This window comes from Homo sapiens, chromosome 9 (assembly GCF_000001405.40).
Source record: "Homo sapiens chromosome 9, GRCh38.p14 Primary Assembly".
NCBI lineage: Eukaryota > Metazoa > Chordata > Mammalia > Primates > Hominidae > Homo > Homo sapiens.
The window spans coordinates 127,080,839-127,094,823 of record NC_000009.12 but is presented as its reverse complement, the minus strand read 5'-3'; the positions used below and the strand labels follow the sequence as shown (position 1 = coordinate 127,094,823).

General features: G+C 50.2%; 2 protein-coding genes across 56 annotated transcripts in view; one reads left to right on the top strand and one right to left on the bottom strand.

The window, feature by feature from the left end:
• The window catches only part of ANGPTL2 (angiopoietin like 2), a 35,288-nt gene extending 27,812 nt beyond the window's left edge, over positions 1-7,476 (top strand). The window contains exons 3-5 of the mRNA NM_012098.3: positions 898-1,091; positions 2,884-3,154; positions 5,686-7,476. Coding sequence (NP_036230.1) covers positions 898-1,091; positions 2,884-3,154; positions 5,686-5,885 — 665 coding nt within the window. The 3' untranslated portion in view covers positions 5,886-7,476. The remainder of the gene's footprint in view (positions 1-897; positions 1,092-2,883; positions 3,155-5,685) is intronic.
• Positions 1-13,985, bottom strand: part of RALGPS1 (Ral GEF with PH domain and SH3 binding motif 1) — a 308,385-nt gene that overhangs the window by 128,343 nt on the left and 166,057 nt on the right. The window lies entirely within an intron of this gene.

Below are 13,985 nucleotides of genomic sequence, written 5' to 3'. Positions count from 1 at the left end.
GTCACAAAGAATCACAGAACCCTCTGGTCTCAGTTTCAGAAGAGAGCCATGGATTGGGCTGTATCCTGGACATCATCCTTTAAGTTTATGAGCCTGCAAGGAGGACCTCAGAATGCGTGAGTGCCAAGCATCTGGCCCTCACTGAGCTTCCTTTGGAAAACACACAGATTCAGCTGAAAGGGAACCTGGCCCCCTAAAAACACACTTGAAGAGCAGTGAATGAATTGCAGAAATATCCCAAAGTCTCTGGCTACATGGCCAAATTCTGGGCATGGCCTAGGCCCCTGTGACTGTGGAAGTTCATTTAGTAAAAGCTGCAGCAGTCATCACGAAGCACTGTCACTGGAAGGGCAGACGTGGAGTCAGAATTGAAGGGTGCCAACTGTACTTGGCCCCCAGAAACAGTAATCCAGTGGAACTGAGTTTCCTTGCAGAAGCAAAGCCATCAGAGCCTGCAGGCACTGACTGATGTTGCCACGTTTAGTAGGTCCACATCTCTTTTTCCTAATATAATGAACACGAAAAAGATCACTCCAGCAACTTCCCCCAAATGATCTCAGTAATCCTGACAACACTATATGAGGGAAATCTGATCTTCCTTCTACAATCAGAAGAAACTGGGGGCTGGGAGAATGAAGAAGTCTGCCAAAAGTCAAACTGTGAGGCGGGTGAGAGGAGAAAGTGAGCTTGGAGTATGGGCATCCTGACCCCTGGTCCGAGGCTCTTGTCTTTATAATTACTTATTAAACTCGCAAAACAAAAATTGGTTACCTCAGACCGTGGGCCTGTGGCTCCCAGCTGGAGCCTCAACAGAGGTTGTGCCTGCTTGGGGTGCAGCTGGGGGTGCGGCCTGGTGACAGGCAGGTCTGTGATGTATATGCATGTCTGTGTCCCCAGGCCCATGGAGAGACTGCCTGCAGGCCCTGGAGGATGGCCACGACACCAGCTCCATCTACCTGGTGAAGCCGGAGAACACCAACCGCCTCATGCAGGTGTGGTGCGACCAGAGACACGACCCCGGGGGCTGGACCGTCATCCAGAGACGCCTGGATGGCTCTGTTAACTTCTTCAGGAACTGGGAGACGTACAAGGTGAGACTCGGCAGGGGATGTCTGTGCTGCCCACAAGGTGACTGGCCCACCCCAAGAGAGGCCTGAGCAACCAATAGAAGAGCCCACTCAGAGGTACATGCTGACCAAGCCCAGGCCTGTGCGGCCCCAACAACACATATACCTGAGGCGAGAAGGATGCAGACAGGGCCATTTTGCAAACCCACCAGGGGTAGTGAGGACCAGCGCCTCCTCTGCCTGCTGCTAGAAACTGCTGCAGGACAAGAGTCAGTAGACCAGACCACCACAGCCCCACAGGACAGGGTGAGAGTTTAGAAACGCTGGTATGGGGGCCCAGGGGTGAGGAGCATTTCACTCCCAAGTGGGGTTTCCATGGGGAAAGACCCGCTCTCAAAGCCCAGAAGGCGCAAGTCCCAAGAGGCTCCCAGTTCCTGGGAGAATCCCCCAAAAAGTCCTGGTAGGGAGTTGTGGCAATGCTCAAGTCCTAATTCCAGGCTCATCCTCTGGGCTCCCTGGTTCCCAGGGAGTTGAAATGCTCATCTGTGTAGCAGGGAAAGTTGCCAGGACTCAGTCATACATCGTTCTTCCCCCTCTAAACAGAGGTAGTACTAAGGAAGGCAAGAGTGGCTCTGTTTGCTGAGTGCCCAACCCGTGCCAGCACCATGCTAAGGGCTTTCGTGCATTATTTTGTTTAATCTCGTATCAACCTCCTGAGGGAGGTTCTGTTATGGACCCAGCTTACAGATGAAAGTGTGGAGTAATTTGCTCAGGGTTGCAAAGCCAGGAATTGGCCCAGTAGTGACTGCAGCTGAGGCCTCTGACACTGAAGCTCACAAACTACCTGAAGCCATGATGCCTTGCACACATGGCTCTGCCATGCCCCTTCTTGAGTCTCCTGTCCTGGTTGTCCCCCACCCCACCTCCTGAACAGCCTGTGTCTCTGCTTTTTTCTCCTCTTCCACCTACATTAGGAGCGGGAGACTCCTCCTTTCTTAGAGGCAATACAGTGCAATGATTAAGACTGGGTTCTTGGTTCAAATCCTGGTTCACCCTCAGGCATTCTGAGACCCTGAGCCTCTCTGGGCCTCAGTTCATCCATACTAGGGAGGATAATGATAGCACTTAGTTCTTCGAGTTGACATGAGGATTAGTAAAACAACCTATGTAAAGTTCTTAAAACAGTGCCAGCACATCACAAGCGCTCAATACTAAATAATTATTGTATTAATGAATCACCGATTCCCAAGACTTTAGTGGCCGTAACTCAGCTGCTGACCCCAAAACCACATGCAAAAAAAAACAATAACCACAAAACCACTGGGTTTTAGACCTAGAGGGGAGCGCCGGTGGATGGGACACATGCGTCACAGCTCACACCCGTCTGGTGCGTTACAGCTTACACGTGACCCTCACACACAGCTCATCTCCAGAGAAGGAGGTGAAGCTCAGTGAAGGTCAGAGATTTGTCTGAGGAATGCCTGCTGCGTGCCTACTTAGTGCCAGGCCCTCCACCTGCCACAGCACACGTGTTCCTGCAGCAAGCCTGTGGGGAAGGTAATATAGCCTCCCTGATGTAAGAACAAGGAATCTGGGGTTCACATGATGCCTGGCACAGGGTAGGCACTCTACATATTTTTGAATAATGTGTGAGTCATGGAGAGATTAAGAGGTGGAGTAGGGGTCTGAACCAGGTCTGCTTCATGCTCTGCTTGTTTCCCAGGCCCCTCTATCCAGGGCTGAGTGTCTGACAGCCAAGCCTGCTGGCTGCAGGTGCTGCAGGCTCCACATTAACACTCTCCTGGGTTTTCCCCAGCAAGGGTTTGGGAACATTGACGGCGAATACTGGCTGGGCCTGGAGAACATTTACTGGCTGACGAACCAAGGCAACTACAAACTCCTGGTGACCATGGAGGACTGGTCCGGCCGCAAAGTCTTTGCAGAATACGCCAGTTTCCGCCTGGAACCTGAGAGCGAGTATTATAAGCTGCGGCTGGGGCGCTACCATGGCAATGCGGGTGACTCCTTTACATGGCACAACGGCAAGCAGTTCACCACCCTGGACAGAGATCATGATGTCTACACAGGTAGGAAAAGTGGAGTCAAACCCAGGTGCAGGGTAGGGAAAAGAGGTCAACCAGAGCCAGAGCCCCTGACTCCAGGGCTTGGAAACGGGAAGATCCCAGGGTGAGAAGCAGCTGGGCCAAGCTGCCTGACCCTGTTACCACCCCCTGAGGGTCCCTTCTCCTGCCCACAGGTCCCCTTCACAAAGCTGGGTCACAGTGGCATTTACAAATTAAGAAAAAAAAAATGGGATGGGGCGAGACATAAAGAGGTATACAAATCACACGTACCAGGGCCAGCTGGGGCCAATGCAGAAAGACATGTGTTGGGCTGTGGCCTCACCACTTCTGTCCCAGGCACCTGGTATAGAGCTAACCAACTGCGTAGGCTCTGGGCCACACACCTGGGCTCCAGTGCTGGCCCCACCTCCTACCAGCCATGTGTCCTTGGGCATACTGCTAAATCTCCGTGGGTCTCAGTTTCTGCATCTGGAAGTAAGGACAAGAACTACATTGCAGAGTAGGGAGAAGGGTAGAGAGAATGTACCTAAAGTGCTTTGTCTAGGATTTGGCACATAGCGAGGGCTCCATACAAACTGGCTTTCTTCATGGTCACTGTTACTGCATGTAATGCTAGTGCAGTGCTGAGAGGAAGCTATTAAGAGGAAAGCAGATAGGAGAGAGAAAGTGATTTGTCTAAGATCACATGCTTCAAATCTAGGTCTTTACTAAGAAGTCTTTATTAAACAAAAAACAAGAGAAAAAAACAGAAAATCAGAAGAAACAGAGATATGGTCTGGCCCTGAGTCCAGATATCAGCCTCCCACACAGTTAATGCCTCCCCAGGGCCAACACCCAGTTTCTTGAGATGAAGGCCTCTCAGTCTGCCATGCTCCTCCCTGAGGCTGGCACCACCTGACGGCCGATGCTGCCTCCAGGCTCAGGCTGTCTGCTCTCAAGGGCAAACCCAGTCCCCTCCTGCCTCCATTTCCTATGTGGTCTTGGTCAGAAGGCTACTCCCTCCCACTTGAGAAGCGAGCTCTCAAGACTGTCCTACAAATGGCCTGTACTTCAGGCAGGCCCTGGAACCTACATACTAAGGTGGAGGGGATCCTCATGCCAGGTCCCCATAGCAGCCACATTCTGAAGGGTAATTCTCCCAACATCAGGGGACAGGAGGGACATGACCTGCCCATCCCTGTATCACACAGACACCTCTGTCCGCCCACTGACACTGAACTGGCCTGGCCCGAAGGGGCCCTGGAAGAGGAACAGGCCCTCATTCTGAAGCAGTAGGGGCTGCCGAGGCTTCTAGAAGAGCAGGGCAGAAGGATAACCTTCAGAGCTGGTCAGACCCTGGGACACAGGGGCTGCTACAGCCTTTCTGGAGGGCCACCTCCTTAGGGAGCGGAAAGTGTATTCTATGATCCAAACTCAGATCTAGCCAGCAGCAAAATCAGTAGCTGGCAAGGTCCTTGTCCCTGGAGGTGTGTGGGACCTCCGCTGGCAAAGAGGAGGCTGGTTATGGCGTGCCCAAGGATCTCCCTGCTATACCAGTCCAACACTGCCACTTGGTCCCTGTGGCCTGGAATCATGGCCCAGAGGGACCCCCAGAAAAACTCTGGGAAAACCTGGCTCCACCTCCCCTCTTGCTTTCTGCCTCAGACTGAGTGCGACCTCCTCACCTCATCCCACGGCCTCGGCCACCTGCTCTGTTGGGCCCTCCAACCCACAATTCTGACTGGAGCAGCCCCTCCCCTGAGTACGGGGTCCCCTTGCCAGGCCCAGTCAGGAAAGTGGGGACCCCCCTTCACTAAGAGCAATGCTGGCAGATAGTGGCCCCCTGTCCTCCTGCCACAGAGTGCACTGCCCCTGCATGCCCGCGCACACCTTCCCACAGTTTTTACTGTTGTTCTGAACTGCTTGTCCTTGGCAGCAAAATTCAGCATGATGTGATAATGCCAAGAGTTTTATGGAAATATCTTTCCTTTGTGAAGTAATACAAAAAATTGTTTGGATGGAATACAAGCTGGGGAGGACTGGAGGAGCATTTCTTCTTAAACACTTTCTTTGTCATTCTTTAAAGACTCCTGATCCAACAGTTTCAACTCAAAAATTCCTAAGAAAAAGCTTTTCTCCCTCCCCGCCCACCTCAGGCCATCTCCATTTCCTATCAGAACACAAGGTGTGGAGTTCCCTTGGGGCCTCCTTTGCACCCAGCCCTGGGCTAGGTGTCAAGTACGCATCCTCATTCAATCCTCAGAGCCGCCCTGTGCGGCAGGCGTCATTTTTATTCTCATTTTACAGATGAGGATACAGTGGCTGGGAGAGGTCAAGTCACTTGTCTGAGATCACACAGCTAGTTAGTTACAAAGCTGAGCCTCAAAGGCGGGCCTGAAGCATGGCCTCTCACCACCCATGGAGACGGGTCCACCTTTCAAGCGTTCTTGCTCCAGATGCCTCCCAGAGAGGGCTTTGCCGAAAGCCCTGAGCACTATGGACGCAAGTAGAATGGCCTCCTCCCAGACACCCTCTCACTGCCTTCTCTCTTGCAGGAAACTGTGCCCACTACCAGAAGGGAGGCTGGTGGTATAACGCCTGTGCCCACTCCAACCTCAACGGGGTCTGGTACCGCGGGGGCCATTACCGGAGCCGCTACCAGGACGGAGTCTACTGGGCTGAGTTCCGAGGAGGCTCTTACTCACTCAAGAAAGTGGTGATGATGATCCGACCGAACCCCAACACCTTCCACTAAGCCAGCTCCCCCTCCTGACCTCTCGTGGCCATTGCCAGGAGCCCACCCTGGTCACGCTGGCCACAGCACAAAGAACAACTCCTCACCAGTTCATCCTGAGGCTGGGAGGACCGGGATGCTGGATTCTGTTTTCCGAAGTCACTGCAGCGGATGATGGAACTGAATCGATACGGTGTTTTCTGTCCCTCCTACTTTCCTTCACACCAGACAGCCCCTCATGTCTCCAGGACAGGACAGGACTACAGACAACTCTTTCTTTAAATAAATTAAGTCTCTACAATAAAAACACAACTGCAAAGTACCTTCATAATATACATGTGTATGAGCCTCCCTTGTGCACGTATGTGTATACCACATATATATGCATTTAGATATACATCACATGTGATATATCTAGATCCATATATAGGTTTGCCTTAGATACCTAAATACACATATATTCAGTTCTCAGATGTTGAAGCTGTCACCAGCAGCTTTGCTCTTAGGAGAAAAGCATTTCATTAGTGTTGTATTACTTGAGTCTAAGGGTAGATCACAGACTGTGTGGTCTCAACTGAAAGGATCACCCTTGGCATCTGTGTGCCTGGATTCTTCCAGAATGTCTACAATGCTAATCTCTCACATAGAGGTTCCCAGCTTCTTAAGAACCCCTTTTGGCACCTAATCAAATTTCAAAATCCCTCCCCCCACATTTTCATACTTTTCCCCATTCTCAGGACTTTTCACCATCCATCACCCACTTATCCCTTCATTTGACACCATTCATTAAGTGCCTTCTGTGTGTCAGTCCCTGGCCACTCACTGCAGTTCAAGGCCCCCTTTCCGCTCTGCTGTACTCCTCGCCTACCTACTCCTTGCCTTTTCTGTCGCACAGCCCCTTCTTTCCAGGCGAGATTCCTCAGCTTCTGAGTAGGAAACACTCCGGGCTCCAGGTTTCTGGTTGGGAAGGGAAGGCCAGGCCAAAAGCTCCACCGGCCGTATAGATAATGTACTCGCAGTTTTGTATCTTCCATTCATACTTTAACCTACAGGTCATTTGAGTCTTCACACAAATAATAACCTATCTGGCCAGGAGAATTATCTCAGAACAGAAGTCATCAGATCATCAGAGCCCCCAGATGGCTACAGACCAGAGATTCCACGCTCTCAGGCTGACTAGAGTCCGCATCTCATCTCCAAACTACACTTCCCTGGAGAACAAGTGCCACAAAAATGAAAACAGGCCACTTCTCAGGAGTTGAATAATCAGGGGTCACCGGACCCCTTGGTTGATGCACTGCAGCATGGTGGCTTTCTGAGTCCTGTTGGCCACCAAGTGTCAGCCTCAGCACTCCCGGGACTATTGCCAAGAAGGGGCAAGGGATGAGTCAAGAAGGTGAGACCCTTCCCGGTGGGCACGTGGGCCAGGCTGTGTGAGATGTTGGATGTTTGGTACTGTCCATGTCTGGGTGTGTGCCTATTACCTCAGCATTTCTCACAAAGTGTACCATGTAGCATGTTTTGTGTATATAAAAGGGAGGGTTTTTTTAAAAATATATTCCCAGATTATCCTTGTAATGACACGAATCTGCAATAAAAGCCATCAGTGCTATTTGGATGTATCTACACTCTGTGTTACTGTTTTAGAATGCCTTCCTGGGGCCTCCCATATCAGAGCCTCTTTAAGTAAAACCAGGAAGAGATTCGGCACCAGGACACACACCAGAATCATTTAAATCACACCCACCCTATCTCTGGTTACCACCTATACCCTCAGAAGTACCACAGTAGTACTTCAGGCCAAGATGGCTCTCTGGAGCTCCACTTCCCCACATCCAGCTGTGTCCTGGATGTCTCCACCAGATATCCTCCAAGCACCTCACGGGCAGTGCACTTAACACCTGACGTACCTTTCTTCCAGGTCTGGTCCCTTTTCACCAAATGGCACCAGGTACTCAATTGCTCAGATCAAAAACAAGGACCTCTCCCTTCCCCTGCCAAGGACAATCCATCCCTCCACGCCAAGCCATCTTGCCTGCATTAGCGTAGGATCTTATCTCCTCTCCCTTCAACTACTGCACCAGGCTCCAGACCAGGAGTCTCCATCTCCCTCATTCCAGTCCAATTTCCACCCTAGCTGCTAGAACTGTCTCCTTGTAAAACAAATCTGTGGGTTGGGAAGTGATTCTAGGCATGACAGGAAACCCCAAAACCTAAAGGAAAAGACTAAAAGATACAACTTTTTTCAGAACTCAAATTTTCTGCTTTCCAAAAAACAAAGCAAAAAAATAAAACATGACCAAGATTAAAAGGCAAATATTGAACAAGAGAAACATATTTGAAACATATATAGCAAATACAGAATATTCGTGCTATGCTAAAACCTCTTTCAAATTAAGAAAGATGCAAATCCTGTAACAGAAAACTTGGCAAAGTACATGTACACATGAGAAGACTCACAAATGGCCAGTAAACAAGATGTCAACCTCAGTAGTAATCAGAGAGGTGCTATAAGTGAAGGATAAACCATGACGTGTGGCCTGTCAGATTGGCAGAGATGAAAAAAATGTCAATCTCCATGTTGACAAGGGAATGGACAGATGTGTGCACTATGGATGGACATATAAATTGACTCCATATTGTTGAAGAGTAACTTGCCAGTGTATATATCAAAATTGTAAATGCACTTATACCCTGGGCCCCAGCAATCCTTCTACCTAATGACCAAGTGGCATAACCATATGATAGCTTTTTCTAGTAAAGCTGCAGTTAGAGAGAGATGCACTGATACGCACTGAAGCCTACCATGTGATTAGAAACAGGCGTGTGTGTGTGTCCGTGTGCGCGTGTGCATTTTACGTCACCTTCACAGAAGCTCTGTGAAGGAGGGATCATTATTCTCAGTTTACAAAAGAGGCGGAAATGAGGCTTGAAGTCAGACTGCTGGTAAGAATACCCCGGCAGCAATTAATCCAGAAGGTGCTGGGTGTCAGGCATCAATTAAGAGTTCTCAACTCCCTTCTCCTAAGCCCCTAGTCAGTTGTTGGGATCACAGTGGAATCTGAATGCTATTTGAGGAAAATATCTTAATCTTGGCCCAGACTATAGTCACCCCTCCACACACATCTGGAGTGGAGTGTGTGGGACATAGGGAACAAGAGCAAAGGAAAACAAGGCCCAACCTTACTGGTCACTGGTCTTGGCTCCAAAACCCCAAACAGAGAGCTCTGGAAAGCCATTGCTGGACACTGCAGAGCCATCCTTTTTCTAAACTAGTTAGGATTCAAATGAAAGCAGGTCATGATACCAGCTATTTCTCCCAAACCCCATCTCAATACCCAAGACTGAATCTTAATCAAACCACACCCAGGCTATATAGAAGGAGAGGAAGGAAAAAGCTCATCAGAGATGTGGAGAAAATGAAAGGTAGGGGTCAGTTCACTAAGCTGGTGGCATGGAAGAAGAGCATGGGGCAGGAGGGCTCTGTCCAAGCACCCTAGCCTGGGTACCCAGTGAACTGCTCTACCTGCCAGCAAAGACAGCCAGTCAGCATCCTGGGGTCTTGCCAACCAGACCATCCTCTCCTATCCCATCAGTGACCTTTTAAGGACTACAATCACAGGAGTCCTACTATTACTAAGTTCGCCATGGTGGTTGCACTGCATTTGCAGACCCAGAAGGAAGTCAATGAAGCCCAGACTTTCTCCTGCCCCAGCCAAACCCCTGCATCCCAGTTTTAGCCAATACCTTGGTCTCTTGGGTGACAAGCGGCACCCACCTGCTGGGCTTGTGTGAACAGGGCCAGAAGACAGTGATGTTTTCTGAGCAAGTGACACTGAAAAAGACCCCCTCCCCGTAATCTTGCCAATTTGAGCAAGACTGAAAGAGAAACCTTCACATTACTGAAAACAATGGTAATGGGAGTGTACCATGCTCACAGTTCACAGACACTCTTAGGAGGTTCAAGGTGTCCTCTCTGATCTCCCAAGACCCCCTCATCTGTTTCACACAGACTTGTCAAGACTCTGGTTATAGTAAGAGAAACCCACATGACTAGATTAAGCCAAAAAGGGAAGCTTTTAAGTGTAACAACATGTCTAAAAGGCGCTCTTTCTGCCTCACTTTTATCTGAGACTTCAAAGGCTAAGGACAAGATAAAAGCTGCAAGATCATCCCTGCAAAGGGCATGGCCCCGCACTGGCTCTCCAGCATTAGTTGATGGCTTCCCTGACACTGTGTGAGAAGTATAGAAAGAAGGTCCTGGAGAGGGGAGAATGAACTGTCCTTCACGTGTCCCCACTACCACAAGGAAGAGGGGTGTTTTCATCCACCTTCAGTCAAGTGAGAGGGACTTCAAGGGACCATTCCCACAGCCTGGCATGGGACAGCATAAGCACTCCTGTCTGACTCAGGCCCAGGGGCACAAAGAGCAGTGGGAAGAGGGGCCCACATTGACAGCACAAGGCCAGCCCACCGAGGCACAAATTCAGGCTTCCTAGGACCAGAGGGCTGCCTGGATGGTGGGGGTAGGGGCAGGGCAGGAAGTACAGGAGCCAGGGAGGGAGCTATACATTACTCCAGGGAGGGAGCACGAGCTCTGAGTTACCAACAGCTATGAAAGATGGGCCGTTCTCTCTCCCTTCTTCCTCCCCTGTTGCCACGGGCCAGAAACTTCAGTGAACAGGTTGGGGAGGCAGTGGGACTGGCCGGGATCCAGCGAAGAAGTGGACTGCGTGTCAGCCAGGTGCTGTGGCTCACGCCTCCCAGAACTTTGGGAGGTCGAGGTGGGAGGACTGCTCAAGCCCAGGAGTTTGAAACCAGCCTAGGCAACATGGTGAGAACCCCATCTCTACCAAAATTAATTAATTAATTAATTAAACAATTAGCTTGGCAAGATGGCATGTACCTGTGGTCCTAGCTACTCGGGAAGCTGAGGTGGGAGGCTCACTTCAGCCCAGGAGGCAGAGGCTGCAGTGAGCCAAGATCATGCCACCACACTCCAGGCCTGGGCAAAAAAAAATGAGACCCTGTCTCAAAACAAACAAACAAACAAACAAGCTGACCATCTGTCTTCCCCCACTCCAGACCTCCACAGCTGGTCAGCTTTAGGAGTCCAGACTTGCAATTACTACACTGGACTGTCTGGAATGAGGAAGTGTTAGAATGGATTGGGCTGCTTCATGCCTAGCACCTCAAAGACCAAAGGACCTGCTAAGTTCTCAGCTTTGACTGGGAAAAGAAAAGTCCACAGAGTAGGCTCAAAAGGACACTGGGGAAAAAATGAGTTTGGTTTCTTCTTACACCTGATTGAGTCCAGCTCATTTAATAAGCTGGTTACATAAGGACACGAGGTATCTCCCCAAGTCCATGGGCAGGGACACAGCTGGGCCTCACAAGGGCCAGGAACCAGAAATTGCCTGGAAAGCCTTCAAGATGCAAGGCAGCAACTTTCTCAGCCCCTCTCCCTTGCTCTTTCCTTTTCCCTTTCCTGCAGGGTCTCTTTCTCTGCTTCTCATCAAGCATCCATCTGTGGACTATTCTCTGCAGTTGTCCTGGCACATGGCACCAGATGGCATTTTTCAGTTCACGTCCTCCTGATCTGAGTGCCAGCATATCTATGTTCCAATGCTGGCTCCCAGATAGAGGATCCAACTGGCCCAGTTCAGGCTGGGTATCCACCCCAACTCTATGGGCTCTGCCCGTGGAGCAGAGCTAGGTGGAAGGAACACTGCTGCTGGCGTGCAGTGCCAAGGGAGAAGCAGCGGAAGTAGGTTCCCAGAGAAGGAGGGGTCACAGGCTGGGTGTCTATCCAAAAAGGTGTCTAGACTACACTCCAGATGTTATTGGTCCCCATCCTCTCCAGGACCATATTTTGCCAGCCAGACATTACTCATCAGATGGGATCCTATTCCCCAGCCCTTCCTGCTGCTGACCCCTGCACTATCCCGGAAATCACATCCAACCCTTCTAAGCCCAGGTGGCTAACTAACATGACACCTGGCTGTGCCCAGATGGGCCTCTTCCTGGGTACGCTGCCCTTCCTGGGTATGCTGTGTTTCTCAATAGGGATACAGGGGGCAACAGGGTTCTCACTGATAGGGTCTTCTTAGCTGTATTTTCATGTGGATAGCACTAATACTAGCCATCATCTATAGGGTGCTTTCCATGTGCCAGGCAGTATGCATGGCTCTTTAAATTCTCACAACAACTCTACGAGGTGGATTCTATAATTACTCTCTCTTCAACGTAACAGAAAACTTACATCAAAGAGGTAAGTGAGCTGCCCAAGTGCATGCAGCCTGACACTCAGAATGTGAACTCGAGTCAGTCTGATTCCTGAGCTCCTGCCTCTACAGCATCGATCACTATACCCAGGGAGGAAGTGAGATCACACTACAGCTCCTATGTCACCCCGTATCACTCAGTAATACATCTGAGAATCACGGTGATATGGAGCCTCCTGCCCACAGCAGGAGTGGATATGTCAGGTAGCCAGCCAGCCTGCCTATGCAGCAGCAGCAGCTTGATACCAGAAGGTCCCTAGATGTCAGGAAGCCAGTCCATAGCTGTCTGCCTAATTTATCTCAAACAATGGACACGGAGTAACAAGGGGCAGTGCTGGAGAATGTTCCACAGCTCCCTGGGCTACCAATCCTTTGCCAGGCTGCAGCTCCTCTTCTTGCCAACTGTCCTACAGCTTACAGACTCATCAGCCCCCCTGCTTTGCTACTCCGAACATCCTACTTGTGGATGCTCTGGCAGTCACCAGATGACCAAATCTACCTGGTTCAAGCCTTGGTCCTCATTATCTGGTAACTGGGTTCCAGTAGTGGTGGCTCACCTCCCATATCCATGCTTCCAGGCCTGGCACTTGCTTACAGGTCTCTCTCAAACCTCAGAGTCAGGCCTGAACCAGCCCTAGTCTGGGATTCTGCCTCTGTGGACATGATGTTTCAATACCAGCCATCCCTGAGACATTCAAATATCCGTGTCTCTCCTGAATGGCCATCCTGGGCCAGCTCAGCCCACACTGGGAGCCCAGACGCAGACAATCTCTCCCATCTGCGTGGCATTCCCACAGCGCTGCCACATGCGGCACCTCCTAGGTGGGTGGGCCATCTGCCTGTCCCATGCTGTGCTTGCTGATGGTCATGATATTAATAAATCCAGCTCCAAGGGCTGGTCAAGGAATGTTCCCTCCCCACTGCTGCAGCACATCCTGAAGCTGAAGGGCTCACAGTACCAGGAGAGGGCTCCTTGGAGGAGGAAAGACAGGCCACATTTGCCCTGAGCCTCAACAGAGCTGGGAATGGCCCAGAGCCTAGAAGGATAGTTAATGTGGAGGGAGTGGAATTAGAATTCCCTTCTGGGGCCATGTGATGACAGAGGCCTACGCCCTCGTCATCTCAACAAGGGAAAACGATTAAAAGAAGCACACAGCCTTCTCCAAGCCTGGAAGGTTGACTAATGCCCAGGCAAGTGTGCAGGGCATGGATTTAGGTCAGCCTCCTCTCCACAGGAACCCAACAGCAAGGCAGCCTTTCCTCATCAATCAGGGCAGTGCAGGCCTGTGGTAGGAACACAGGGAGATGGAATAAGGATAGATATTCAGGAAGCAGAGGCAAGGGCAGAGGGTGGCTGATCAGTTGGGTAGGAGGCCTGAAGGCCTGGCTACCTATCTTAGAGCCCAAGAGAATTGGTGGGCAGAGAAATGTATATTTAAAAAAAAATGCCATTTTGTGCCTATCATTTTAGCATAAATAAAACACGGTGGATAATATCTAGTGTTGGTAAGAGTGGAAAAAATAGGCATACTCATATCCTGTTTGCAGAAATATAACTGCAAGCATTTCAGAGGGCATTCCAGCAGTAGGCACTGTAAAGTTGCAAAGAGTTTTTGCCCCAGCAATTCCACTTCCAGCACTCAGTGTTTCAGAAGTACTTTAACAGGAGGATAAAGACACACAGATAAGGATGCTCCCCACTGCACTACAGGCTGAGCATCCCTTATCCAAAATGCTTGGGACCAGAAATGTTCCAGATTTCAGACTTTTTCAGATTTTGGAATATCTGCATTATACTTACCTGTTGAGCAAACCTAATCTGAAAATCTGAAATCCA